The following is a 26,422-nucleotide window of genomic DNA, read 5'->3' as shown; positions in this document are numbered from 1 at the left end:
GCCAGACCTTTTACAGGGAAATGACTCAAATAATACATCTAGGTTCCTGGTTCATAATCTTGTGCTCACGCAGCACAGAGATCACTTTGGGTACCTTCTTCATGCCAGTGTTGGTAACTAAGTACCAGCCAAAGACACCTTTCCCAAAACCAAGAGGAAGACAAGTACCCTGCCCTATGGGTTTTCATCTAAGTCAAATCAACAGGCAAAATGGACTCTTTGTATCCTGTGTTCCAGAAAGAATTTTCACTTTCCCCCTCCAACATCAAAACTTCTGTTTCCTCAGCCTGATTATAAAGAAATTGTCTGTAATTTGGCCTCTGAATTACCTTTCCAAGTGTGTAAGTCAAAAACATGCATGCCCTTTTTAGGAAGAGAAAATGACAGACTACAGACATTTTAGTGAAATGGGGTCAAACCCTGAAACATACACATATATATATATATATATGTGTGTGTGTGTGTGTGTGTATATATATGTGTTATATATATATATTTGTTTTTTACATATATATAAAACAAATATATATAACAAATATATATATAAAAACATATATATAAGCAAATACATATATATATATATATATATATATATATATATATATATATATATATATATATATATATTTGTTGTTGTTGTTGAGACAGGGTCTCTACTCTGTCACCCAGGCTACAATGCAGTGGTGCAATCATGGCTCACTGCAGATTTGACCTCCCAGGCTCAAGCGATCCCACCCCAGCATCCCGGGTAGCTTGGACTACAGGCATGCACCACCATGCCCACCTAATTTTTGTATTTTTTTTTTTTTTTTGTAGAGATGGGGTTTTGCCATGTTGCCCAGGCTGGTCTCAAAATCCTAAGCTCAAGTGTTCCACCCCCTCAGCCTCCCAAAATGCTGGGGTTACAGGTGTGAGCCACCATACCCGACCCTGAAACAGATTTTTAACAATCACATGTTTGTCTTGTTCAAAATGGCTTCAAGTTGCTAGTCCCATGTTATCACCTAACAAACGTGATGGGGTTATTGGAGACCTTTGAGGATGGTCTCTCTATTGAGATCTTAGAGATATTAAAAGTTTAGGTTCAGAAACAAGGTTTCTAGTTTTTGAAAAACACAGAAAGACAATTGAAATCCTATAGCAGGCCAGGCGCAGTAGCTCACACCTGTAATCCCAGAACCTTGGGAGGCCAAGAGAGGTGGATCACCTGAGGTCAGGAGTTCGAGACCAGCCTGGCCAAGATGATGAAACCCCATCTCTACTAAAAACACAAAAATTAGCTGGGCTTGGTGGCACATGCCTGTAATCCCAGCTACTCAGGAGGCTGAGGCAGGAGAATCGCTTGAACCTGGGAGGCAGAGGTTGCGGTGAGCCGAGATCGCACCACTGCACTCCAGCCCGGGCGACAAGAGCAAAACTCCGAGGAAAGAAAGAAAGGAAAGAAAGGCTATAGCAAAGTGAGCAGATTTACTTTTAAAAATTTTTTATAATGTCTTTTACTATACTTCCCAAATAAGTGAGCAAATTTAACTTAGCAAGATGAGATCTTTCAGAATGGCATATGTGAGAGAGTGTTACACAGAAATTGAGCTCTGGGGTTCAAAACAATTGTCACTGCATTCAAACCCTATTACAAAGCAGTGTGCACATATGAATTTAAGACAGTGATCAAATCATGTTCCATGTGCCAAGCAACTTAAAAACAGAAATAATTGAACCTGCCTGCCCACGTGATGGTGACTGGACAATCCCGAAGCCCTGGAGCTTGAGGATGTGGTAGCGCCACTACAATGACAGTTATTGCTCCAGGAAAAAGCCACTTTCACAACTGTGATTTCAACCTGCGAAATTCTTTTCTGCATGTATGTGGGAGGAGGTAGGCAGTATTGATTATTGAGTAAGAGCTTGAATGCAGAACCAAATACCAGCTGGGAGGCCTGAGGACAAATTATTTAACCCCTCTATGTTTCGGTTCCTCCACCTGGAAAACAGGCATGACGATAAATCTGTCTTACAGAGCTGTTACCAGAATTAACTATGATAATGCAGCAAAACTCTCAGCACACTGTATCAAAGCAATAGAGTTAGTATAATACTATTATTATTACCATTGTGCTTTCAGAGAAAAGAAAGCTCAAAGTTCACATTAACTTGACATGTTTAAACTTTTGGGTATTAGAGGTATTAATCACTTTAATATTTCCATTACATTAGGGACACTTGGATTGTTCCAGTCTTTACATTATGTTATACACTAGGATGTTCTCTCCATTTTGATATATTGGCCTGTGAAATGCTACATTCTCCCTGTATGATTGAGAGTATCTGCCCGTTGGAAAATGGGATTATCATGAGATTATTATGTCTTCAGGTCTCTAGTCCATGTTTATATCCAACCTTAGCTGCATCTCCTAGGAGCCACTAAATAACTTTCAGCTTTAAGGAAAACAGGTACAAATTTCTAACTAGTCAATCATATATGACGATTTTTTTTTCCTGCTGTATGCTCATCTCTGCTATCTACTTTGGGGCCTAAAACTATGTGTGCTCTTCTGAAAGAGATTTTAATTCTGTGCCCTACCCAAACTTTGCTACTTAACTGGTTTTTTGGTTTGTTTTCTGTAACAGGGTCTCGCTCTGTTGTCCAGGCTGGAGTGCAGTAGTGCAATCACGGCTCATTGCAACCTTGATCTCCCTGATTCAAGCAATCCTCCCATCTCAGCCTCCCGAGTAGCTGGGACTACAGGGGCATGGCACCACATCCAGCTAATTTTTTTGTATTTTTTGTAGAGATGAGGTTTCATCATGATGCCCAGGTTGGTGTCGAACTCCTGGGCTCAAGTGATCCACCTGCCTTGGCCTCTCAAAGTGCTGAGATTAGAGGTGTGAGCCGCCGCACCTGGCAACTGTTTTTTTTAATTATCCTAATTACACAACTCTAAGTGTTTTAAAGTTACAAAACAAGCTCTCTATTTTTTTTTTAAGTGCACTGCACAGGAAAAAAAAAAACCCATGTAATTACACAGGTTATTACATGGATAATTACCTGTTATAATTACATTTTTATATTCCACTTTGGTTCGAGAAGTTTTGGTTTAATTATAATTTCATGAAGGCATGACCATTTGTAATTTCATTAAAGAATGTATATTAAAGCAAATCTGTAGTGTTTTACATTAATTCCAGGAGTTATAAAATAATGACATTTTAAGGTGTGTGTGTGTGTCTTAAGCAAAAACATTCCCTCACATCCTGTGTTCCCAAATCTCATTGTTTTCTCACAGTTGAAGTCCATGACATGATTTTTTTAGAATGATGGCCATCTTTAAAAGAGTAATGCTTATTCCATCTTGGAGACCTTTAGGGAGAGATATATCATAATGTTCCAATTTCTACTAGTACTTACTATAAAGAGCATTTACATTATATTAAACCGAAATCCACTCCAGCTGCTTTTTAAATTCATTTCTTTCTAATCTGTCCTCAGTAGAGATTTTAAAAAACAAACAAACAATCAAACATTCTCCAGGACATCCGAAATATGTACTCTTTAACAACCCTCAGGCACTTGAAGACTGTGATTAAGTTCTTTTCTGCTTCTTTTGAGATAAATCCTTTCCAACTTCTCCCCATGAGATCAATTTTTTAAAAACCTCCTATGGACTCTATATGTGTCCAAATCTCTGTGATTTGATGCACAGTCGCTTTTATAAGGAAATGACTCAACAATACATCTAGGTTCCTGGTTCATAATCTTGTGCTCTGGTATACCAGATGCCCAGATTACCTTAATGACTTTATAAGAATATCCTATAGGTATAAATTCACATACCCTGCTCTAGAGAACATGACTAAAAGAAGCTGTCTCCACAAAGATATCTAGATGGCTGCTCCCCATCCCCAATCAGCTTTCAGACATCTCATCCCTGGCATGACAAACTCTACAATGCCATTCACCCTCCAGGGCTCCCCACTCCCTTTGGAATCAGGCTGAGTGAGGCTAGACTCCTCCTGAAATCACATCTCTGTCCAACTTCATCCTTCTCCCTCACTTAGAGGTTTCTCTTAAAAGCTTTCTTTCAACAGGCCACTTGCACAATGCTATATATAGTTTGGATGTCTCTTTCCCCAAACCTTATACTGAAATTGAATTCCAATATTGGGGATGGAGGCCTAAAGAGAGGTGTTTGGGGCCATGAGGGAGGATCCCTTAAGAATAGTTTAATACCCTGGGGAGGGGTGGGGAAGGTGATTTCTCAGTCTATTTGTTCCCCAAATAGCAGCTGTTATAAAAGAGCCAGGCACCTCCCCTCTCCCTCTTGTTTCTTCTCACCAAGTGATCTCTGCACACACACTGCCTTCCACCATAAGTGGAAGCAGCCTGAGGTTTTCACTAGATGACCAATCTCTCGGCAGTAGAATCATGAGCCAAATAAACCTCCTTTCTTTATAAGTTACCCTGTCTCAGGTATTCCTTTATAGCAACACTAAATAGACTAAGATACACAAGAGTCCCTATCTCAGGCTGTGCTTCCAGGGAATCAGATGTATGACACCTGAATTAAGAAAAGTTTGAACCAGGCACGGTGGCTCACGCCTGTAATCCCACCACTTTGGGAGGCTGAGGCAGGTGGATCACTTGAGGTCAGGAGTTCGAGACCAGCCTGGCCAACATGGTGAAACCCTGTCTCTACTAAAAATACAAAAATTAGCTGGGCGTTGTGGCACGTGCCTGTAGTCCCAGCTACTTGGGAGGCTGAGGCAGGAGAATTGCTTGAACCTGGGAGGTGGAGGTTGCAGTGAGCCAAGATCGCGCCACTGCACTCTAGCCTGGGCGACAGAGCAAGACTCTCTCTCAAAAAAAAAAAAAAAAAATTAGCCAGGTGTGGTGGCACATGCCTAGAGTCTAAGCTACTAAGGAAGCTGAGGCATGAGAACTGCTTGAGCCTGGAAGGTCGAGGCTGCAGTGAACCATTATCACGCCACTGCACTCTAGCATGGGCTACAGAGCAAGATCCTACCTCGAAAAAAAAAAAAAAGTTCACCATGCCAAAACATCAGTGACAGTCAATGACAAACATTAAGTGCTCTTTGCTTCATCTCCAAAGGACTTTATTTCTGACTTTCACACAGATATGGTCTTGTTGGACTCACATACATACATTATCAGATCAATGTGTAATACTTATTGATTAGATCACATTGACTTGAGCAGTCTTTAGTATAAATAATTATTTTTAAGGAAATGTGATTATTAAATCACGGTCATAGATCTCTCTCAATTTCATATAGACAGTGCTTCCAGTTAAAATGGCAAAGGACATATTTTTCTACAATATCACTCATCAATGCTGAGTATTATCATTCCAATACATTTACTACTATTCTTTTTTATCCAAGGCTTTAAACATGAGTGTATTCCCTTCCCTCTTATCTTCCACCCTCCAACAAACAAATTACTCACATAAATGAATAACCTATAGCTTCCAAGTATGGGCTTTCTACATCTTATGGAATTAGTAAAAGATTGAATGTCCTGAACTTACTTGCCAAGAGCTATGTAAGCCCTTAAAATTGGTACAGCCGCACCTCATTTTACTGAGCTTCACTTCACTGCACATCACAGAAACTGCATTTTACAAACTGAAGGTTTGTGGCAGCCCTGCATCGAACGAGTTTATCAGTGCCATTTTTCTAACAGCACAGGCTCACTCTGAGTCCCTGTTGTCACATTTTGGCAATTCCTACAGTATTTCAAACTTTTTCATTCTTATTACATCTGTTATGGTGACCTGTGATCCGTGACCTTGGATGTTAATATTGTAATTGTTTTGGGGAGCCATGAACCTAAACATATAAGATAGTGAACTTAATGGATAAATATGTGTGTTCTGACGGCTCCACTGACCGGCCATTCTCCCATCTCTCTCCCTCCTGCTCAAGCCTCCCCATTTCCTGAGACACAACATATTTAAATTAGGCCAATTAATAACCCTGCAATCGCCTCTGTGCCTTAAATTGTAAGGAAGAGTAGCATGCTTCTCACTTTAAATCAAAAGCTAGGAATGATTAAGCTTAGTGAGGAGGGCACGTTGAAAGCCAGGGTAAGCTAAAAGCGAGGCCTTTTGCATCCAACAGTTAAGTTGGGAATGCAAAGGAAAAGTTCTCAAAGGAAACGAAAAGTGCTACTCCACTGGACACACAAATGATAAGAAAATGGAACAGCCTTATTGCTGACATGGAGAAAGTTTGAATGGTCTGCGTAGAAGATCAGAACAGCCACAACACTCTCGTAAGCCAACGCCGAATCCAGAGCAAGGCCCTAACTCTTTTCAGTTCTATGAAGAGATAAGGAGGTGCGTCTTATATTAAATCCAGAAACTATTTTTTTGAGAACACCAACAAATTTATGTGACTCACTTTACTGCAATATTCCCTTTACTGCAGTGGTCTGATGGCAAACCTGCAATACCTCTGAGGTATCCCAGTACACAGAAATTGTTATTTAAAATCTGCCGATGACCTAGATCTCCCTAAGCAACATTTTTACTAATGAGCTCGACTTCCTTAAAGCATATGTGTTAATTATCCATCATAAAGCTATTAGAAAATGTCTGTTAATGCCATTAGATGGGATGAAAGCATTCAGTAAATAAAATATCGAAATCCTAACTTAAGCTATCTTTTAAAATTACACTAAAAAAGACAGTACACTGAGGTTTGTTTTGTAAATTTCATTCTTTTCCAGTGATTTTTCAGCTTACGGTAATGTTTCACATATTAGTTCTTTGTAGCCTTTTTCATTTTGATCTTCATTTGTATGTGATAACTGGGTTTTTAGGGGTGTGATGAACCACGGTTTTATAATTTACAGTGGGAAAATATCCATCAATGAAATCAAATTCATACAAATGAAACAGAGTGGACCAAACTGTCTTGATCTGAACATGGGCAAAATTTTTCCCAATATGATGACGCCCGCCTCCAAGACCATCTTCTCTCCTGTTGAGATGTCCTGTAATCACTGATCAGGATCCACAAGCTCCACCCAAGTGTCTTGAAATCCTTGATTGACAGTGAGAGATAAACCCATTTGGTGGCCTGCAGGAATGGTACGTCCTATCACACCCTCTGAGGCAGTTTAGCCATTCTCAATATAGTCAATACAGGAAGTCTAAGTCTTAACTTTCTCTGTACGGTGATTAAATAAGTTTCAATCTTTCTTTTTTTTTTTTTTTTTTTAAGATGGAGTTTTGCTCTGTTTGCCCAGGCTAGAGTGCAATGGTGCGATCTCGGCTCACTGCAACCTCTGCCTCCGCGATTCTCCTGCCTCAGCTTCCCATGTAGCTGGGATTACACGTGCGTGCCACCACGTCTGGCTAATTTTGTATTTTTATTAGAGACGGGGTTTCATCATGTTGGCCAGACTGGTCTTGAACTTCTAACCTCATCAGGTGATCTGCCTGCCTCGGCCTCCTAAATTGCTGGGGAGTTTCAATCTTGAGCAGGTCATAAGTTAAAGAAGGTAGATCCTCTCCACGGACAGTTTTCTGCTTCAAATAACATTTTTCATGAAGTGTTTCATCTCTGGCTACAAAGCAGCTCATTTAGGCACCAGTAGTTGAGGATGTATGCTGCCCTGAGAACAGTCTAATAAGCAGCCCTGTGACTTCCTCATCTGCCAACAGGTGCTCACCCTTGTCTGTAGTATCCAGTAAAGTTTGGAGAATGCCTTGGATTTTTTCTTCTGGTTTCTGTGTTTCTGGGTTGCCTTACAGACAATAGTTGTGCTCTCAATGAGCTTTGTAGCTGCTTCTGCAACCACGCAGAGGCAGCCAACGTGGCCGCAGCCAGGCCAAAGGCTTGAAGCCGCCACTCACATCTGCGCACAGCTGTGCCACCTCTTACTGAGTTGACTTCTGATTTCCTTTCCATGTAAACCATGGCTAGCTATCAAATTATGAGCTCAGAAAGAGCTTCACACAATTTTTTTCTCTGCTTTCTCCCCAGCTTGAAAGTATTCCTTTCTTTTTCAGTTATAGAAACTTGCTGTCTAAAGTGGGCTACTTTAAGGCTACTTTTTAACATTTTCTCTTGCCCCAAGAACGCTGGATTAGGCATGTCACATTCAACTCCCTTCCCAAACGCAGGTGTCCTGAGATGACTGTAGACATCTTCTGCATCTTTGGTTTTACTATTAAAAAGTGGTGCAGTCGGCTGGACGCAGTGGCTCAGGCCTATAATCCTAGCACTTTGGGAGACCAAGGCAGGTGGATCACATGAGGTCAGGAGTTTGAGACCACACTGGCCAACATGGTAAAACCCCATCTCTACTAAAAATACAAAAATTAGCCGGGCGTGGTGGCAGGCGCCTATAATCCCAGCTACTTGGGAGGCTGAGGCAGGAGAATCGCTTGAACCCAGGAGGTGGAGGCTGCAGTGAGCCAAGATCATGCTACTTCACTCCAGCCTGGCTGAAAGGGCAAAACTCCGTCTCAAAAAAAAAAAAAAAAAAAAAGTAGTGCAGTCTCATCTCTCTCCAGGAGTAAATGTCTTGCTCACCACAGAAAAACTACATACAGGTCCATACTTCTCATATGCCCATACTTCTCATATGCACTTTCTAGAAATTCAATTTAACTTTTCCCAAATGTATGGCATGCCCAAGGAATGTAATGGGAGAGAAAACATATGATGAGCATTTTGCACCAGCTGGCAGCTAGGCCAGGTGGTTACTATTGTGGCAAAGCAGACCAGGCTGAGAATGAAGGCGCAGGAGATGAGCAGCATGGACAGGAGGCTGTCACTTTCACCTGCCACCCACTCCACCAGCTGCCCCAGCGCCGACCTGCTCATCTGCACTAAGCCCAGCATTCCAATTATAATCTTTTAGTTATTTTTAAATGTACAATATATTATTGTTGACTGTAGTCACCCTGTTGTGCTAGCAAATCCTAGATGTTATTCATTCTTTCTAACTATACTTTCGTACCCATTAACCATCCATACTTCCCCTCACCTCCTCACTACCATCCCCAGGCTCTGGTAACCATCATTCTACTCTCTATCTCCATCAGTTCAATTGTTTTAATTTTTACCTCCCACAAATGAGTGAGAACTTGTGCAGTTTGACTTTCTGTGCCTGGATTATTTCACTTAATATAATGTCCTCCAATTCTATCCATGTTGTTGTAAATGACAGAGACTCATTCTTTTTTATGGCTGGGTAGTGTTCCACCGTGTATATGTACCACATTTTCTTTATCCATTCATCTGTTGATGGACACTTAGGTTGCTTCCAAGTCTTGGCGATCGTCAACAGCACTGCAATAAACATGAGAGTGCAGATAGCTCTATGCTTACTTCCCTTCTTTTGGGTAGATACTAGCAGTGGGATTGCTGCATCATATGGTAGTTCTATTTTTTTGTATTGTGAGGAACCTCCATACTGTTCTCCATAGTGGCTGTAATAATTTACATTCCCATCAACAATATATGAGGGTCCCCCTTTCTCCATATCCTTAACAGCATTTGTTATTGCCTGTCTTTTGGATAAAAGCCATTTTAGGCCAGGCACAGTGACTCATGCCCGTAATCACAACACTTTGGGAGGCCGAGGCGGGTGGATCACCTGAGGTCAGGAGTTCGAGACCAGCCTGGCCAACATGGTGAAACACTGTCTCTACTAAAAATACAAAAATTAGCCAGGCATGGTGGTGGGACCTGTAATCCCAGCTTCTCGGGAGGCTGAGGCAGGAGAATTGCTGGAACCTGGGAGGTGGAGGTTGCACTGATCCAAGATTGCACCATTGCACTCCAACCTGGGCGACAGAGCAAGACTCCATCTCAAAAAAAAAAAAAAAAAAAAAAATTAGCCAGGTGTGGTGGCAGGCACCTGTGATCCCAGCTATTCGGGACGCCGATGCAGGAGAATCACTTGAACCCAGGAGGCGGAGGTCGCAGTGAGCCGAGATCTCGCCACTGCATTCCAGCCTGGGCGACAGAGTGAGACTCCATCCCACAAAGCCATTTTAATTGGGGTGAGATGATATCTTACTGTAGTTTTGATTTGCATGTCTCTGATGACCAATAATGTTGAGCACCTTTTCACATGTCTGTTTTCCCTTTGTCTTCTTCTGAGAAATGTCTATTCAGATACTTTCTCTATTTTTTAAATTAGATTATTGGATTTTTTTTCCTATTGAGTTGTTTGAGTTCCACATATATTGTTTATTAATCCTTTGTCAGACGGTTAGTTTGCAAATATTTTCTCCCAGTATGTGGGTTGTCTTTTCACTTTGCCTATTGCTTTGTTTGCTGTGCAGAAGCATTTTAACATGATGTAATCCCATTTGTCCATTTTTGTTTTAGCTGCCTGTACTTTTAGGATATCACTCAAGAAATTTTTGCCCAGTCCGGTGTCCTGGAGAATTTCCTCAATGTTTTCCTTTTACTAGTTTCATAGTTGAGTCTTAAAGATTTGTTTTTAATCCATTTTGATTAGATTTTTCTATATGGCAAGAGAGAGGGGTCTAGTTTCATTCTTCTGCCTATGAATATCCAATTTTCCCAGCACCATTTATTGAAGAGATTGTTCTTTCCCCATTGTATATTCTTGGCACCTTTGTTGAAAGTGAGTTCACTGCAGATGCACGGGTTTATTTCCGGGCTCTCTATTCTATTCCATTGGTCTATATGTCTGTTTTTATGCCAGTACCATGCTGTTTTGGTTACTACAGCTCCGTAGTATAGATTTGAAGTCAGTTAATGTTATTCCCCCAGTTTTGTTCTTTTTGCTCAGGGTGGCTTTGGCTGTTCTAGGTATTCTGTGGTTCAATACAAATTTTAAGATTATTTTTTCTTCTTCCTTTTTTTGGGGGTTGGGGGGGATGGATTCTCACTCTCGCCCACGTTGGAGTTCAACGGCATGATCTTGGCTTACTGCGACCTCCGCCTCCCCGATTCAAGCTATTCTTCTGCTTCAGCCTTCCAAGTAGCTTGCTACAGACACGTGCCACCACGCCTGGCTAATTTTTGTATTTTTAGTGGAGACGGGGTTTCACCATGTTGGCCAGGTTGGTCCCGAACTCCTGATCTCAAGTGATCTGTCCGCCTCGGCCTCCCAAAGTGTAAGATCATTTCTTCTAATTCTGTGAAGCATGTCACTGGTATTTTGGTATGGATTGCACTGAATCTGTAGATTGCTTTGGGTAGCATAGCCATTTTAATGATATTGATTCTTCTAATCCGTGAACAGGGAATAGCTTTCCTTTTTTTTTTTTTTTTTTTGGTGTCCTTTTCTTGCATCAATGTTTTATTGTTTTCATTATAGAGAGCTTTCACTTCTTTGGTTGAGTTTATTCTTAGGTATTTTATTTGTGGCTACTATAAATGGGATTACTTTCTTGATTTCTTTTCAGAGTATTTGTTGCTGAACACATACACAGAAATGTATGTGTTGATTTTGTAGCCTGCAACTTTACTTATCAGTTCTAATAGTTTTTCAGTGGAATCTTTGGTTCTCTTTTATTTCTCTCTCTTGCCTGATTGCTATAGCTAGGACTTTCAGTACTATGTGGAATAACAGTAGTGAAAATGGACATCTTTGTCACATAACTTTTATTATAGGATATTGTTGTAATTGCTCTATTTTATTTTTATTGTTGTTAATTTTTTATTATACCTAATTTATAGATTAAACTCTACCATGGATATGTATGCATAGGAACATAAGAAAAAACATACATAGTATGTATAGGGTTTGGTACCATCTGCAGTTTCAGGCATCCACTGGGGGTCTCAGAACATATCCCTTGCATGTAAGAGGGAACTACTGTATATTAAACTAAACTGAGTATATGTGTGCCATTGTTTCAAGGTTTCAGACCTTTAAGGTTCCACTCAATGGTTGCTATAGGTTGAATGTTACGGTTTCTATGTGTTGAATGTTTGTTTCTCCCCAAGGTCATGGTGAGAATTTGGTAGTTGTTGTGGCGGTGTTAAGAGGTGAAACTTTGGGAGGTGATAGGGTAGCATTACCGTCATTATCAAAGGGCAAGTTTGCCCCCTTTAGCTTCTTGGCATTCCTCCTTCTGGCTTATAAGCATCTAGCCTTCCTCCCCTGCAGATCATGTGGTGTACAAGGTGTCATCTTAGAAGAGCACAGTCTCACCAGACACCAAACCTGCTGGGGCCCCTTGACATTAGATTTCCCAGCCTCCAGAGCTATGCGCCAATAAATTCCTGTTCTTGATGAATTACCCAGTCTGTGGTATTCTGTTACAGCAGCACAAAATGGACCAAGACAATGGTAAAGTCTTAACTCATTCAATGGTTCCTTGGTGATTTGAAGGTTTTTGTCAATTTCTAAACCTGTTTATTTGGGACTTATCTGCACAGTACTGAACCAACTGTTCAAAGTGAAAATTCAAGAATCAATGGGTTTGTTGTTCAACAACAAAGCAGGGAATCTCTTAATAAATTGCTGCCTTACTATCATAAATGCTGCTCTAGTATACTAAAGGTTAATTAGGCTTCTTGTAGTGCCTAACTTAACTCAGGGGGAAGTAATAAAAACAAAAAACAAACACAATAAATTGCAATTAATATTTACTTGGATATGAAAGTAAGTATAACCTTTAGATTATTCAAAATTCAGTTTGTGAAGGCATCTTATAGAACCGATATTTATAGGCCAGGTGCGCTTGCTTATGCCTGTAATTCCAACATGTTGGGAGGCCGAGGTGAGAGGATCACTTGAGCCCACGGGTTTGAGACCAGCCTGGGCAACATGAAGAGACCCTGTCTCTGTAAAAAATTTAAAAACTAGGTAGGTGTGGTGTCACACACCTGTGGTCCCAGCTACTCAGGAGGCTGACATGGGAGGATTACTTGGACCCAGGAGGTTGAGGCTGCTGTGAGTTGTGATTGCACCACTGCACTACAGTCTGGGCAACATAGTGAGACCCTATCTCAAAAAAACAAAAAATCCTGATGTTTACAATGTTTTTAGTACATTTGATTTTTATTTAATAATTGATCTTTTACTACTGATTACATTCTTTTCAAAAGGCTTGTGAATTTTGCAGCTGCATTCAGAAGGCCATTTTCCTCATTAATGTGGTCCACAGATCAAAAATATTTGCCATTCATTCATTCACGTTTTCATTGACCATAGAAGTTTCACCTCACAAAGTAGAATGTTTGTATCAAGTAAACAGAATAAATATTTTATCTGACAACATGGGTACCTGATTCCTATACCCCTTGTTGGCCGCAAACATTTTTACACTTCAGAAAGTCAAGTCCTCACAAATATAAACCAGGTATCTGCATGCTTACCCTAGCAAGTGCTTCCTCAATTGTGATCATCTTTTCTTTGACCATCATCATTAGCTGAATCCGCTCCTCATCGCTCATCGTTATTTCACTGGCAACATAACCAACGTCTTCTCCTGGAGATTGAGGACAAAGAACAACAGGAGTGAAAACAAGAATGGCGAAACAGAACGTCAATGCGGAACATCTGCTGTCTCGGGCTAGAGAAGAATGTTGCTCAGGACACTATGTATGTTGAACGTTACTGATGAAGCAAAGGGTGGCAAAAATATGCTGCTTTTTAAGAAGCCAATAAGCACCTCTGATTGAGAAACAGGCTTGCAGAACACGTGGGTGTCACCATAGAAACAAATCCTTCAAGATGATCAGAGCCTTTGAGATAGAGTACCCAGTGGATGGGTTTTGGAGGAAAGTGAGAGAGAGATCCTCGCTATAGGTGGAGTAAAGATCTAATTTACACACCCAACTGGATCATACAAGCATTCCAAGGCTCCTTCAGCTGTGGGTTCTTTGTGTCCTTCCATTAGCAATACAAATGAGAAGAAAATATTTTTGCAAAGAAGTGGGAAAGAATCCTAGGTCATGACAGAGGAAGGTCACAGAGTTCAGACCTGGCAAAACCTTCCATTCCTACTAAGCTATTTCACTGTTATTATTCCTCAAAACTAAGTGCACCGGGCACAGTGGCTCATGCCTGTAATCCCAGCACTTTGGGAGGCCAAGGCAGGTGGATCACTTGAGGTTAGGAGTTCGAGACCAGCCTGGCCAACAAGGTGAAACCCCATCTCCACTAAAAATACAGAAATTAGCCGGGCATGGTGGCAGGCACCTGTAATCCCAGACACTCAGGAGACTGAAGCAGGAGAATTGCTTTGAACCCGGGAGGTGAAGGTTGCAGTGAGCCAAGATCACACCACTGCACTCCAGCCTACGTGACAGAGCAAGACTCCATCTGAAGACAAAAAAAATAAATAAATAAAAAATGCTAAGTGCAAATCACAGACATGAAGCATGTTGAGTTAATCAGAAGAAGGGTGCCATATAGGTCTGTATCTGAAAGTATTATTGTCATAAATTGGTTTCCAAACTGAGGGAAAATCAACTTCCAACTCGCACCTGAAGGCAGCTAGAACCTCAGAGAAGAGAATGTCCCATTAGATTCCAAAGATTTTCCTACAGAGCAAACAGACTGCTATTGCCTCTGGTATATCTGAGCCACATTGGGCAATGGTGCCTCTGGTCAGCGTGTGGGGAAGGACATGTTACTGAACATGAGCTTTAACATCCCCACTCCAGTCCCACACCCTGCTCTCCTCCCCATCTTTCTCATTCATACTTTTTACCAGCTTCCAATATCGTTAGGATGCCCCCGGCTGTGGCTTAATTTGCCTTTGGTGTAAGAGACAGAGGGAAAGAGTCTGCCTGTAGACTTGTAGGAAACCATTTCAGGCACGGCTGACTTTGGAATTTATGTTGCCCTGTATTTCCATCTAATTTCCATTTTGTAATCAATCAATCCAAAAATACTCCTCAAGTTCCCTCAAGTTCCCTTTGCTACTTGCACAGGGAGAATAATAGCGTGTGCTGGGTGAAGAGAGAAGCCTGCTGGGTTGATTCATTTTACTATCTGTGTCACCGCAAATGGCAGAGTGGGTGATGGGGAGTTGGTTGGGTTCTTTAAAAATCCACATTAGCTGGTAAACTGTTGGCTTCCTCCTTCCCTCCCTCTCCCTCTGTACCTCTCCCTTTCCCTTAGCTTTAGACTGTTTTTTTTTTTTTTAGAATCCAAGGTTTATTTTGAATCACAAGTGACGCTGGGTGAATACAAAAAACTGGGAATGCTTAAAAGTAGGACAACTTGAAAAAAGAACCAAGTGGAATGTTGCCAAGGAACCCAGGTGTGCTGTGACGTGTCTGCTGTTCACATCCGTTTTTCTCATTTCCACGCGTACTGATAATTAGACAGACGTTCCACACAGCACAGGACACTAAGATTTTGTAAAGGAAAGCAAGCAGTGTCACTGGTGATCAAGGAAAACTTTTTAATCTACTGATAACCTCATTCAGCTGGACTGGAATCTGGAAGTGGATTTGTTCTGGTTTCTTCTCTGAATACTGGGGAAACATAAATTATGTAACTGAGCCTCAAAGGGATGATATATTTACTTACTATATAAACAACAACAAAAGACACAGCCAAGAGTAGGGCAGAACTCCCTTCACAAAGCCGCCCGGGCAAATTCCCATGATGTCAGACCACTGGAGTTTCCAGGGGCAACACCCCATAACCGTCCCGCTGCAGAAGAGCATCAGAAGTTCAGAAGAATGCAAAGGATCTCAGTGGGAACGCGGACAGGAGAGCCCCAAACCAACACATGCTAGGGCTCTCTAGGCCCTTTCAGGCTAGATCTTGACGAGAGAAGAGTAAAGATCTTTCTGAGGTTGGTGCAACTGAGGAAACGAAAGTTTCGGCCTCTGCTGTCAGATCTATGAAAGGAAAGAACTGTGAACTTGTCCCCTTTTGTTTTCTTTGACTTAAAACAAAAGAAAATCACTGGAACAAAGTCTTAAAGTAATAACAGAAATGTCAGAAAAGTTGAACATCTTATGGGCACATGCGGTGAGTTACGCTAACTTATAGCATCCACTGAGATTAGCCGCATAGGATTCTTCCCATGTTAGAGCTAAAAGGACCTACTGTCCGCCAGCTGCATTGCAGTACCTTTTGAAGTCTGTCTCATTATTCCTTTCTGGTTCTTTCGGAAGTTCTGCCAGAAATACTTATTTTTCTTCTTCCAGTCTCCTTTTCCTTAAAAAAAAAAAAAAAAAAAAAAAAAAAGAACAAAAAGCACAAGCAATAAATTCATCATTAATAACAAAAGTAGCCTCTTCCTTGTAATTCAAAGCTGGTAGGAATACTTTGATTTCACAAAAGGACAGTTTTTTCTTTCAGTTAGTGAAAGAATGGGAGATGCCTATAAAGTTGTTTAAAAGAAATGCAAATTTCCTAGTAGCAAGAAACGGTGCAGTGAGGTTAAGAGGAGAAACGGAAACATCAAAAAGGAAGGCAGAACATGCATTCTTGTGTTTACTTTGATGTTTGTTTAACTAGTATGCCTAATTTGGCCTCGTCTTGCAGTATATTTCCCCCCTTTGGTCTTAGCCACAATTATTTCAACTACACCACAAATAGGGTATTTTAAGAAGTTCACTTGGTTTTGTTGTTATTTCTGTTGTTGATCTACCCTTGGTTTATTTCTGTTATTCCAGATTTAACAACAAGAAGAGAATGGTTGGTATGTCCTGGGCCCACAGGTCAGGGGAGTTGGTCCCCTGGTTCTCTGGGTCTGGCCCCCAGTGTTACTCTCAGAAGTGTGGTCTGCACGGGTCTTGCTATGGCATGCTTATGGCACTCCCTGGCATTCAGGCTACCTGGTGACCCACCTACAGCTTACCCAGGGCACAAAGACAAGCAAGACTGCAATCCCGCTGTGTCATCTCCCAAATGGGTCTCCCTCTACCCACCGCACCCCCGATCCTTTCCAGATGACTGCGGTGACTTTCAAGTGAAAACAAATTCGCTGCTATAGCTAGACATTTTTAATATGTGGTAGGGTTCCGATCATTGATAACACGTAATACCTTTTTAAAAGCAAAGCGAAAGGGGAGAGTAAGTAAAATGAGTGGGTAGAGCAGTCCTTTATTCTTTACAAATAAAAAGCAGCAGCAGCGGTGTCTGCCATCGTGCTGATGTGGCACATTCAAAATAGCAGCTCTGTCACCACTTGTTGTCTGTCTGGTTGCTCCATGGCCACTGGAAACAGGGCCCAGCGAAGTGATGGGTTTCCCCAGTCTAGACTGGTGGTGCCAAGCAATGAAGCAGACGTGTGGGAACCATGTCTTTGGTGCTCCCAGGCTAGAAAGGGCGTCGTCTGTCAAAACAGGATGCCCTCACATTTAAGTTTTGACAGCCCCCAGAGCTGTGGGAATGAAACCCGAGCCTTTCCGCCAAAGACAGAGCTTCATGGCAAGTTTTGTATCACCCACTGCCTTTGGGCTTAACACTGAAGCAAATGTCAGACATGCAGGGTTAAAGCAGACTAGTTATTATTAACTCAATCTTGCTCTTGGACAGTTCGGGAATATTCATTTTCTTTCTTTTTTCTTTTCTTTCTTTTTCTTTCTTTTTTTTTTTTTAGTGAGACAGAGTCTTGCTCTGTCGCCCAGGCTGGAGTGCAGCGGTGCAATCTTGGCTCACTACAACCTCTGCTTCCTGGGTTCAGGTGATTCTCCTGCCTCAGCCTCCTGAATAGCTGGGATTGCAGGCAGGAGCCACCACGCCCAGCTAATTTTTGTATTCTTAGTAGAGATGAGGTTTCGACATATTGGCCAGGCTGGTCTCGAACTCCTGATCTCGTCATCCACCCTCCTCGGCCTCCCAAAGTGCTGGGATTACAGATGTGAGCCACCACGTCCGGCCTATTTATTTTCTTTTTAAGAGACATGGTCTCTTTGTCCAAGCTGGAGTGCAGTGGTGCAATCACAGCTCACTGTAGCCTCAAACTCTTGGGCTCAAGGGATCCGCCCACCTCAGCCTCCCAAGTAGCTGGGACTACAGGTACATGGTGCTATGCCCACCTAATTTTTAAATTTTTGGTAGAGAAAGCATCTTGCTATGTTGCCCAGGTCAGTCTCGAACTCCTGGGCTCAAGTAATTCTCCCTCCTTGGCCTCCCAAATTGCTGGGATAAGAGAAGTGAGCCACTGCACAGGCTGACAATATATTTCTTTGACTATAAGCTATATTCCCTTCTCCCTTCTCCCATTTTCATGTTTCTGAAACAGAGATGCAGCCTAATAAATGGTAATAGCTAACATTTATTCAGCTACTATATCCAGGCACTTAGCTATCTAATGGCAAGATTTCATTTAATACTCAATTATATGACACATCATTGTTCCCACCTAGCAGATGAGAAAACTGAGGCTTGGTGCAAGTGAGCTGCACAAGGTGATAGCTATTGGGTCGGCATATTCAAAGTCAGGCAGCCAGGGTTGATTGAGTACTTAATGTTCCTAATCACTATCAGCCACCCACCCTGTGACCCAAACAAAATAGCTGTTACTAAACCAAGAGTGAATTTTATAATCAAGAATATATAAAACATACAATGCCTTAATTATGCATAATCTTGGATCCAAAAAATTCCAAATTGAAGGATTTATCCTAAGGACATTATTAGGGACACAGACCCCAGGATTTTTATAGCAGCAGTAAATTTTTAAGTCTGCATAATATTCCACCATATTGGATGTGCCATAAGCTAATTAACCAATTCATTCTTTGCTGGATATTTAGGTTGCTTCTAATTTTTCTGTATTAACGTAGAGAATATTCAGTCATGGGAAAATGCTCATAACATATTCAAGTTAAAAACTATAAAACAGTATGCAGAATATGATCACAATTATATTTTTTTAAAACTGCCTAGAAAAAGGAGAATAAGGATGTACATCAAAATCTTAACAGTGTTTATTTCTGAGTAGAAGGATTCTTGTGGGTTTTGTATTTTCACATATTCGTGTTTTCTATAAAGTATTGAAATAATTAAATAGGTAAACCAAGAAAAGTGGTACTGACCTACAGAGCTGTCTTCTGAGTTTGATTTATGAAGAGGGTTCCTAGAAAAGAAAAACAAATCAGATTACCAGAGAGCCTTGCTTTCATGGGAGAACTGAAAATCCTCCTAACTAGTTTGACCCAGCATCAATACTACTTAATACAGCCAGGGAAATTGTTATAGGCTATTTACCACTGGCTTTTTCTACCCATCTGCTGACTTCCTAGAAATAGACTCGTGTGCCATTTGTCGACATTTATTAAAGACTCACTCGAAGGTGAGACCTGTAATATTAAATGAAGAAGACAGACTTCACTAGACGATCACTGAAGTACCTTTCATTCTGTGAACTACTAATACAAGTGAAGTTACTGCCATTGGGAAGTCTCTTGTGTAAGAGGAAAAGAGAAAGCAAATAATAATGAAAACATAAACTCAGCACCACAAATGCCACTTGGGCCCACAGATGAGTACAGTGGTCGGCTCTAGGAAAACAAAGGGGGCAGGGAGGCGGGTGAGACACCCACAACAGGATATTGAGTGTCCCTAATAAAGGGGGCGGCCAGTACACAGTTCCTCCAGTTGGTTGCTGCCAATTGGCAAGTGCAATGTCCATCCTGCTGAATCTTCCAATGTTCAAAAAGAAGACAGAAATCTGCATTTTTTTTTTTGAGACAGTCTTGCTCTGTAGTCCAAGCTGGAGTACAGTGGCATGATCTTGGCTCACTGCAACCTCCGCCTCCTGGGTTCAAGCGATTCTCCTGTCTCAGCCTCCCAAGTAGCTGAGATTACAGGTATGCGCCATCACGCCTGGCTAATTTTTGTATTTTTAGTAGAGACGGGGTTTCACCATGTTGGCCAGGATGGTCTGGAACTCCTGACCTCATGCAATCCTCCTGCCTCGGCCCCCCAAAGTGCTGGGATTACAGGCGTGAGCCACTGTGCCCAGCCAGAAATCTGTATTTTTATACAAGAGCTCTAACATTTTTAAGTGATGGTAAAGAAACCAATGTTTTTAAACATGTGTCCAAATTAATCAATACATGTCTGGGCATCGAATTTGCCTCCCACCCCAACACCTTTGGCTGCCAGTTTGTGAAGGCAGATACAGATTAACCCAAATAATCTGAAAAGTGTGCACAGCCCAAAACCAGTTCATTAAGCATTTCTCCAGAAAAAAACTTAGACAAACAAAATTTAAAGAAAGAAAGCGGGAAAGCCAAAGAAAGTTAAAATTGGTTGTATCAAAAAGGGAACGAGGTGGGCAGATCACTTGAGGTCAGGAGTTTGAGACCAGACTGGACAACATGGCAAAGCTCCGTCTCTACTAAAAATACAAAAATTAGCTAGGCGTGGTGGCACAGGCCTGTAATCCTAGCTACTCGGGAGGCTGAGGCAGGAGAATTGCTTGAATCTGGGAGGCAGAGGTTGAAGTGAGCCAAGATCGCACCATTGCACTCCAGACTGGGCAACAGAGTGAAACTGTATCACCAAAAAAAAAAAAAAAAAAAAAAAAAGGAACAGGGAACAGTAGAGTGTGGAGCAAAATCTTTCATTAGGTGTGTCCAAATCCCAGAAGGAAAATACAGTATCCTTGGGCTTACAGCCAAGGGAAACCAGAAAGAAGGCACCTGCATCAGAAGAGACACAGACACTTGGGGGATTTAAACCTGAATCTTCACTACAAGTTCACCACCAGGAAGGAAGATGGAAGAGGTGATTTTTGCATCTGAAGGCTAGGGAAGACAAGAAAGTGGGAGGCCAGGTATGAGTTACACTGAAAAAATTAGAGCAAAGGCTGAGGCAGGAGGAGAGCAGCCTGGGCAACATAGTGAGACACTGTCTCTTTAAAAAAAAAACTTCTAAAAAGTTCAACTGGGTATGGTGACATGCATCTATAGTGCTAGTTCTAGCTACTCAGGAGGCTGCAGCAGGAGGACTACTTGAGCCCAGGAGTCCGAGGTTGTAGTGAGCTATGATCACACCACTGACCTCCAAACTGGGTGACTGAATGAGACTCTGTCTCATTCAGAGGAAGAAGAATTGAATATCCTAATCACCTAAAGTGATTTTCTGCCTACCTTTTGGATAAAAGGACCTTGAGAATCTAAGGTGACCAGAGAGAGGGGAGGGAGGCTTTTTCACGCAGAGCAGCCTTTAATAAGCCACCACCCTTTGGTGTAGCTGCACTGGTGTGGGCTGACCACTGGGTGCCATTTCTGAGTGGCAGGCCCATGCCCTGCAAGCACCACCATTCTCCACGGCTGAGTGCAGAGAACTGTTGATGACCAGCACAAAAATCTGAAAGCTTTCTATTGTAAACTAAGGGAGAGTCGGAGCTAAGAACAGAATCAGGGGAGAAACCGCTAGAGAGGACAAGAGCTAGTTTTGAATTCTAGTTATTTCCCCTTATTCCTGTGCTGTGAATACAGAACATGTAAGGAAAATCTCACTTATCACCAAATTGTGCCAAAACATGGCTAGGACCTACTCTCCTTCCTCCTATCCACACAAAAATGAAAATACCTGTATTTACCTGCAAGGCTTTTAGGAGGTAGCCATTTCAAAATTTAAATCTTTCAGCCAAAATGTACTGAACAACGCACAAGTAAGGTACATGGATGAACACGAAGGAAGGGGAGCCACAGGTTAGAGACGGAGGGAGACAGGAACAAAAAAGCATAAGAAATGACGAGGGGGAAGGGGAGGAGAAGAATGAGGAAGAGAAGCAGCAAATGTAACATGCTCAGGGCCACGGGAGAAGTGGGAGCAAAATAAGAGCAAGCTAGTTGGCTGGGGACTGAGGCAGGAAATCCTTCAGAAAGAAAGAAGGGTTTCTGCTAAGTTTAGCTTCTTAATTTTTTTAAAAAATCTTACTGTGCTGTACTTTGCACTTCAAGTCATGGGACTGTGCAGCTGCCACCTTACTTCAGCGGGCTGGGGTCTGCAGCTGGTTAAACATGTTTTCTGTAAGGGGCCACCAGAGGGACAGGGAGCCCCATATGTATTTTTGTCCTCACCCTAAGGACTAGGGATGTCTTTTTTTTTTTTTTTTTTCTCCTGGAGACAGAGTCTCACTCTGCTGCCCAGGCTGGAGTACAGTGATGCGATCTCGGCTCACTGCAACCTCCACCCCCAGGTTCATGCGATTCTCCTGCCTCAGCCTCCTGGGACTACAGGCATATGACACTATGCCTGGCTAATTTTTGTATTTTTAGTAGACACGGGGTTTCACCATGTTGACCAGGCTGGACTTGAACTCCTGACCTCAGGTGATTTGCCCGCCTCGGCCTCCCAAAGTGCTGGGATTGCAGGCATGAGCCACCGTGACCGGCCAGGACTAGAGAAGTCTTGACCTAACTGCTATGGACCAAATATCCCCACCTCAGGATAAAACTTATTATGTAATAAGTGAAAACACAAATTGTGAATTTTTACTTTCCCTAAAAGTCATCAAAATACTTCAAAAAGTACACTGCAGAAAAATGTACGCTCCCACTGCTACACCATTAGCACAAAATGTGATTGCATTTTCCTCTCTGAAATGATGACTGACAATATTTTCACTATTTTTAATCTACTGTCTTCAAACTACCACACACTTTGAATAATTTTATCCTCCGGTTTGGACTTGGCCCAGGCATTGCTTGAACTTCCCCAGGATGCCAGCAGATGGCACTGTAGTTTCTTTATTCATCTTGCTGTGGTGAGTGGGATTTTGTTTTTAAAATTTCACAAGTTCACCACCTAGATGCTGGCCAAAGAATAACAAGCCCATGTTTCATAAGCGTGAGGCTCCCCAACTCATCAAATTTACAATCCTTTGAATTTTACGTTGAATCCAAATTCAATGTGTGAATTTGGATGCAGTGACTTTCTCCCTGCAAACAGAAGCTGGCATAGAAGCAGTGCAAAATGCCATCTCCTTTCTCCTTGAGAATGATTATTACAATTCATCCAGCAGGAGCAAAAATCAATGATATAACCCAAGTCCAAAAGTGGATGGCAGCAGGTGGAAGGGGTCATTTACTAATCTCCTGGTGGAAGAAATTAATGCTCAGACGTCAGCTCCAAAGAGGCCTCCTGGTAGTAGTACCTCCTTCCTCCAGCCAGAAGCCCCAGGCCTGAGGATGGTGGGCGCTGGAGCTGGATCTGCTCTTTGGACTCATCTTTTTCATTGTCAATGGGTAAAAAGTATGGTAACTTCAGCATGGATTTTGATGACCAGGAAGCAATAATTAATATTCTGCTGTGCTTTAAAAATCCATTTAAACATTTAATTATCATCAAGTATTGGATTTAAAGTCTCAGAACTGAACCTTAGCAAATATTTGTTCATCAATAACTCCTACTATTAAGACCCCAAATCTATCTGCTTAAGTGTCAACATTTTTCCTCAAGATCCCTAAACTGCTTTAGCTGTTCCTGAAGGCAAAATTCACTTAAGAAAATTCCTACATTAAGGAATTTATCAATCCCATTGAAAAATAAAAATAATTTAAGAGACAGTATCCCCAGAACTGGTTTCTTTCCTCCTACCTCTGTCTTTAACAAATTCTTTGTTAAATTGCTTTGTGTATTCATTTTCACTCATTCTTTCATTCAGTATTTATTTATTCACCTCTCAGTAGGAGTCAGGCATCCTCTGAGGTCCTGAGAACATAGCAATAAACAAGACAGATTCAAGAAGGGCGACTGCAGAGTCAAGGAGTGAGGAGAAGTTGAGGTGATGGGACAGAGAAGGCTTCTCTGAGCAGAAACCTAAATAATGAAATAACATTCACTTCCCCAGATGGGGAAAGCTGGGCAGGGGAACAGCAGGGGAGGGAACAAGAGGTCCCCTTTGGACATGCTAAGTGTGCGGTGCTTATTAAACATCCCTGTGCAGACAGTAAAGAAACAGTTGGACATGTGAGTCTAGAGCTGCAGATAAGAATTTGTAAGTGACTTGCATACTCTAAGCTCTGACTGAACACTACGAAGAGAAACATTATGAAGACTGAGCTCCAGGGCAACCCGATTTTTAGTGGTCATAAAGAGAAAGTGAGGCCCAGCAATGAGACTTAGGAGGAGCAGCCAGTGGGAGAAGGAAAAGAAGGCAGAGTGCTCCTTTACCTTTCTGGTTAGAATATTATTAAACTCCGTTTTACAAAAATTATATCGCAGCTGGGCGCAGTGTCTGACCCTGTAATCCCAGCACTTTGAGGCCGAGACGGGTGGATCACCTGAGGTCAGGAGTTCGAGTCCAGCCTGGACAACATGGTGAAACCCCATGTCTACTAAAAATACAATAATTAGCCAGGCGTGGTGGAGAGCACCTGTAATCGCAGCTACTCAGGAGGCTGAGGCAGGAGAATCACTTGAACCCAGGAGGTGGAGGTTGCGGTGAGCCGAGATTGCGCCACTGCACTCCAGCCTGGGTGACAAAGTGAGACTCCATCTTAAAAAAAAAAAAAAATTATATTGCAGTCTCTCACTCCACACAGTGGAAACTCTAGGTTGCCATATTTTCTTTTCCAGTGAGTCTACTGCTTTACAGTGGAGATCCTCGTAAGACCATAGAGTAGGAGGAGGAACACAACACAGGTCAACATGAAATTCTTTACACTTGTATAGAATTCCACCTCTCAAATGCAATACTCTCATTACCCCCCATCACAGAATAGGACTGTCACTGAGATGGGAGTGATGACATGCCTGAGGTCCAATCGTGCTGGGCAAGGGCATAACTGGGCTTGGTGGCCACGTCTCTGACTCCTGAGTTCAACACCTCACCCTCTTCCCCAGACTCCTCCTCATTTGTATAACAGAATTCCAAATTGTATACATTCTTTAACAGGATGCTTCTTTTCTATTATTTAAGGGATAGACAGAAAGGGGATACCATTACATACTGGCCCAGCTCTTGAGTAAATTGCTAAAATGATACTCAGAAGAACCTGCAAAAACAGAAAGTTTTCAACACCAAACCTCACCATGGTCTATGGAAGTATCAGAACTAAATATTCCAAGAACACTTTTCAGGAATTGACTATCTGGCTATTGCAAGACCCCCCTATCTGCTTCTAGAAGGAAAGGAAGCCAAATACTATGGCTCAAACTCATTTTTCTTCTTCTGTTTATATACAAATAGTCTAAGCTACATCCAGACAAAGACAACTCTATCTCGTTTCTACATACTGAGTCCAGCACACCAGAAAAGTGCAATGAATGGCCAAGCATAAACAAATTCCTAAAATACACTTCATGTTTTGGCTTTGATGAGCTGTCCAGAAACTTCATTATAACCAAGAAAAAAAAAAAAGAAAAGAAAAGAAAAAGAAAGGAAAGTGGTTATAACCTCATTTCCAAGAAAGGAACATATGCTATATGTTACTGGAAAACCTGTACTTAAGGGATTTTCAAAGTTCCTTAATCTTGAGTCTCAGGAAATCAACTTCTCCATTAGTTGATTTCCTGCTGAATTTGAAATCTGGTCTTTTGCTGTGTCTGGGTCTTTTCCTGCATCATCCCAGGCCTGCCAAGGCAGTCCCGAAAGCCAGTAGCAGCCTTTTCTCCACCATTTAAAAAAAAAAGCCTGACACATCTGTGCTACTGAATTGTGCATGTACAGGGGGAGGCAGGGGAAGGTTAAAAGGTTGAAGGGCTTACATTAAGAAGTAGTTAAGATTTTCATTTTCTTTATGTCCTACTTAAGTATGGATAACTGTACCTTCATATTTTGCTCCTTTCATGACAAATCATTACATGTTAAAGAAGTAATTCCTCAATTTAATATTTCTTTCTATCCTTTGGGTATCAAAGATACTTTTATCACACAAACCTATCTCCTCTGTTTAAGAGAAATAGATATGAAACAAAATTCAATTCATACTATCCACTAGTTGCCATAAAAACTCAAGAGTCACCCTTTCTCCAGCCACAGGGCCAGGACTTGGATGATGCCAGAGAGACACAGATAGCCCAAGTTGTAAGAGGTCACCTCTTACAGATTTGGTGTTGATTTGGTGTAAGATTCTCTCAGAATCCGGCAGGTGCAGGGAGTGAGTTGCCTCCTTAAATTCCATGCCCTATGCACCTCTCTTGCTTGGCCCCATGATTTAGCTTGTGAATTCACTGGCTGAGACAGAAAAGCAATTCTATTGCCAAAATCTGGCATACTGTTAGAACTCCAGGAATAATCAATATCAATGACAACATGGGTGACATTTTGTCAAGCCGGTCAAAACAATCCCCATACAGGTTTTTTCTTTCATTTCACAGTCTATTCCCAGCCTGAACTTGCTGGCTTTTTGTTACAGGGTCACCTTTATAAATGAACAAGGCAGGTGTCTGCAATACCAAAACCAAGACAATGGCCTGACCCAGCACACACATTCAGGAGTCAGGCAGAACTAGGGGTAAATGACAGCGCTGCCACCAATCTAAGCCTTGACTGTCTTTCTAAGTGCAGTTGTGATGATA

General features: G+C 41.8%; 1 protein-coding gene and 1 pseudogene across 13 annotated transcripts in view; both read right to left on the bottom strand.

Annotated features, from left to right (window-relative positions):
- SASH1 (SAM and SH3 domain containing 1) overlaps window positions 1-26,422 on the bottom strand; it is a 358,577-nt gene that overhangs the window by 64,481 nt on the left and 267,674 nt on the right. For all 13 annotated transcript variants that reach the window (XM_017010599.2, XM_024446384.2, XM_017010600.2 and 10 more), the window contains 3 exons: window positions 18,979-19,019; window positions 16,061-16,147; window positions 13,342-13,454 (listed from right to left, as the gene is read on the bottom strand). In XM_017010599.2, coding sequence (XP_016866088.1) covers window positions 13,342-13,454; window positions 16,061-16,147; window positions 18,979-19,019 — 241 coding nt within the window. The remainder of the gene's footprint in view (window positions 1-13,341; window positions 13,455-16,060; window positions 16,148-18,978; window positions 19,020-26,422) is intronic.
- On the bottom strand, window positions 7,500-8,213 carry CYP51A1P3 (cytochrome P450 family 51 subfamily A member 1 pseudogene 3; annotated as a pseudogene).

This window comes from Homo sapiens, chromosome 6 (genome assembly GCF_000001405.40).
Source record: "Homo sapiens chromosome 6, GRCh38.p14 Primary Assembly".
Lineage (NCBI taxonomy): Eukaryota > Metazoa > Chordata > Mammalia > Primates > Hominidae > Homo > Homo sapiens.
The sequence above is the reverse complement of the archived record's forward strand: the minus strand, read 5'-3'. Positions and strand labels throughout refer to the sequence as shown.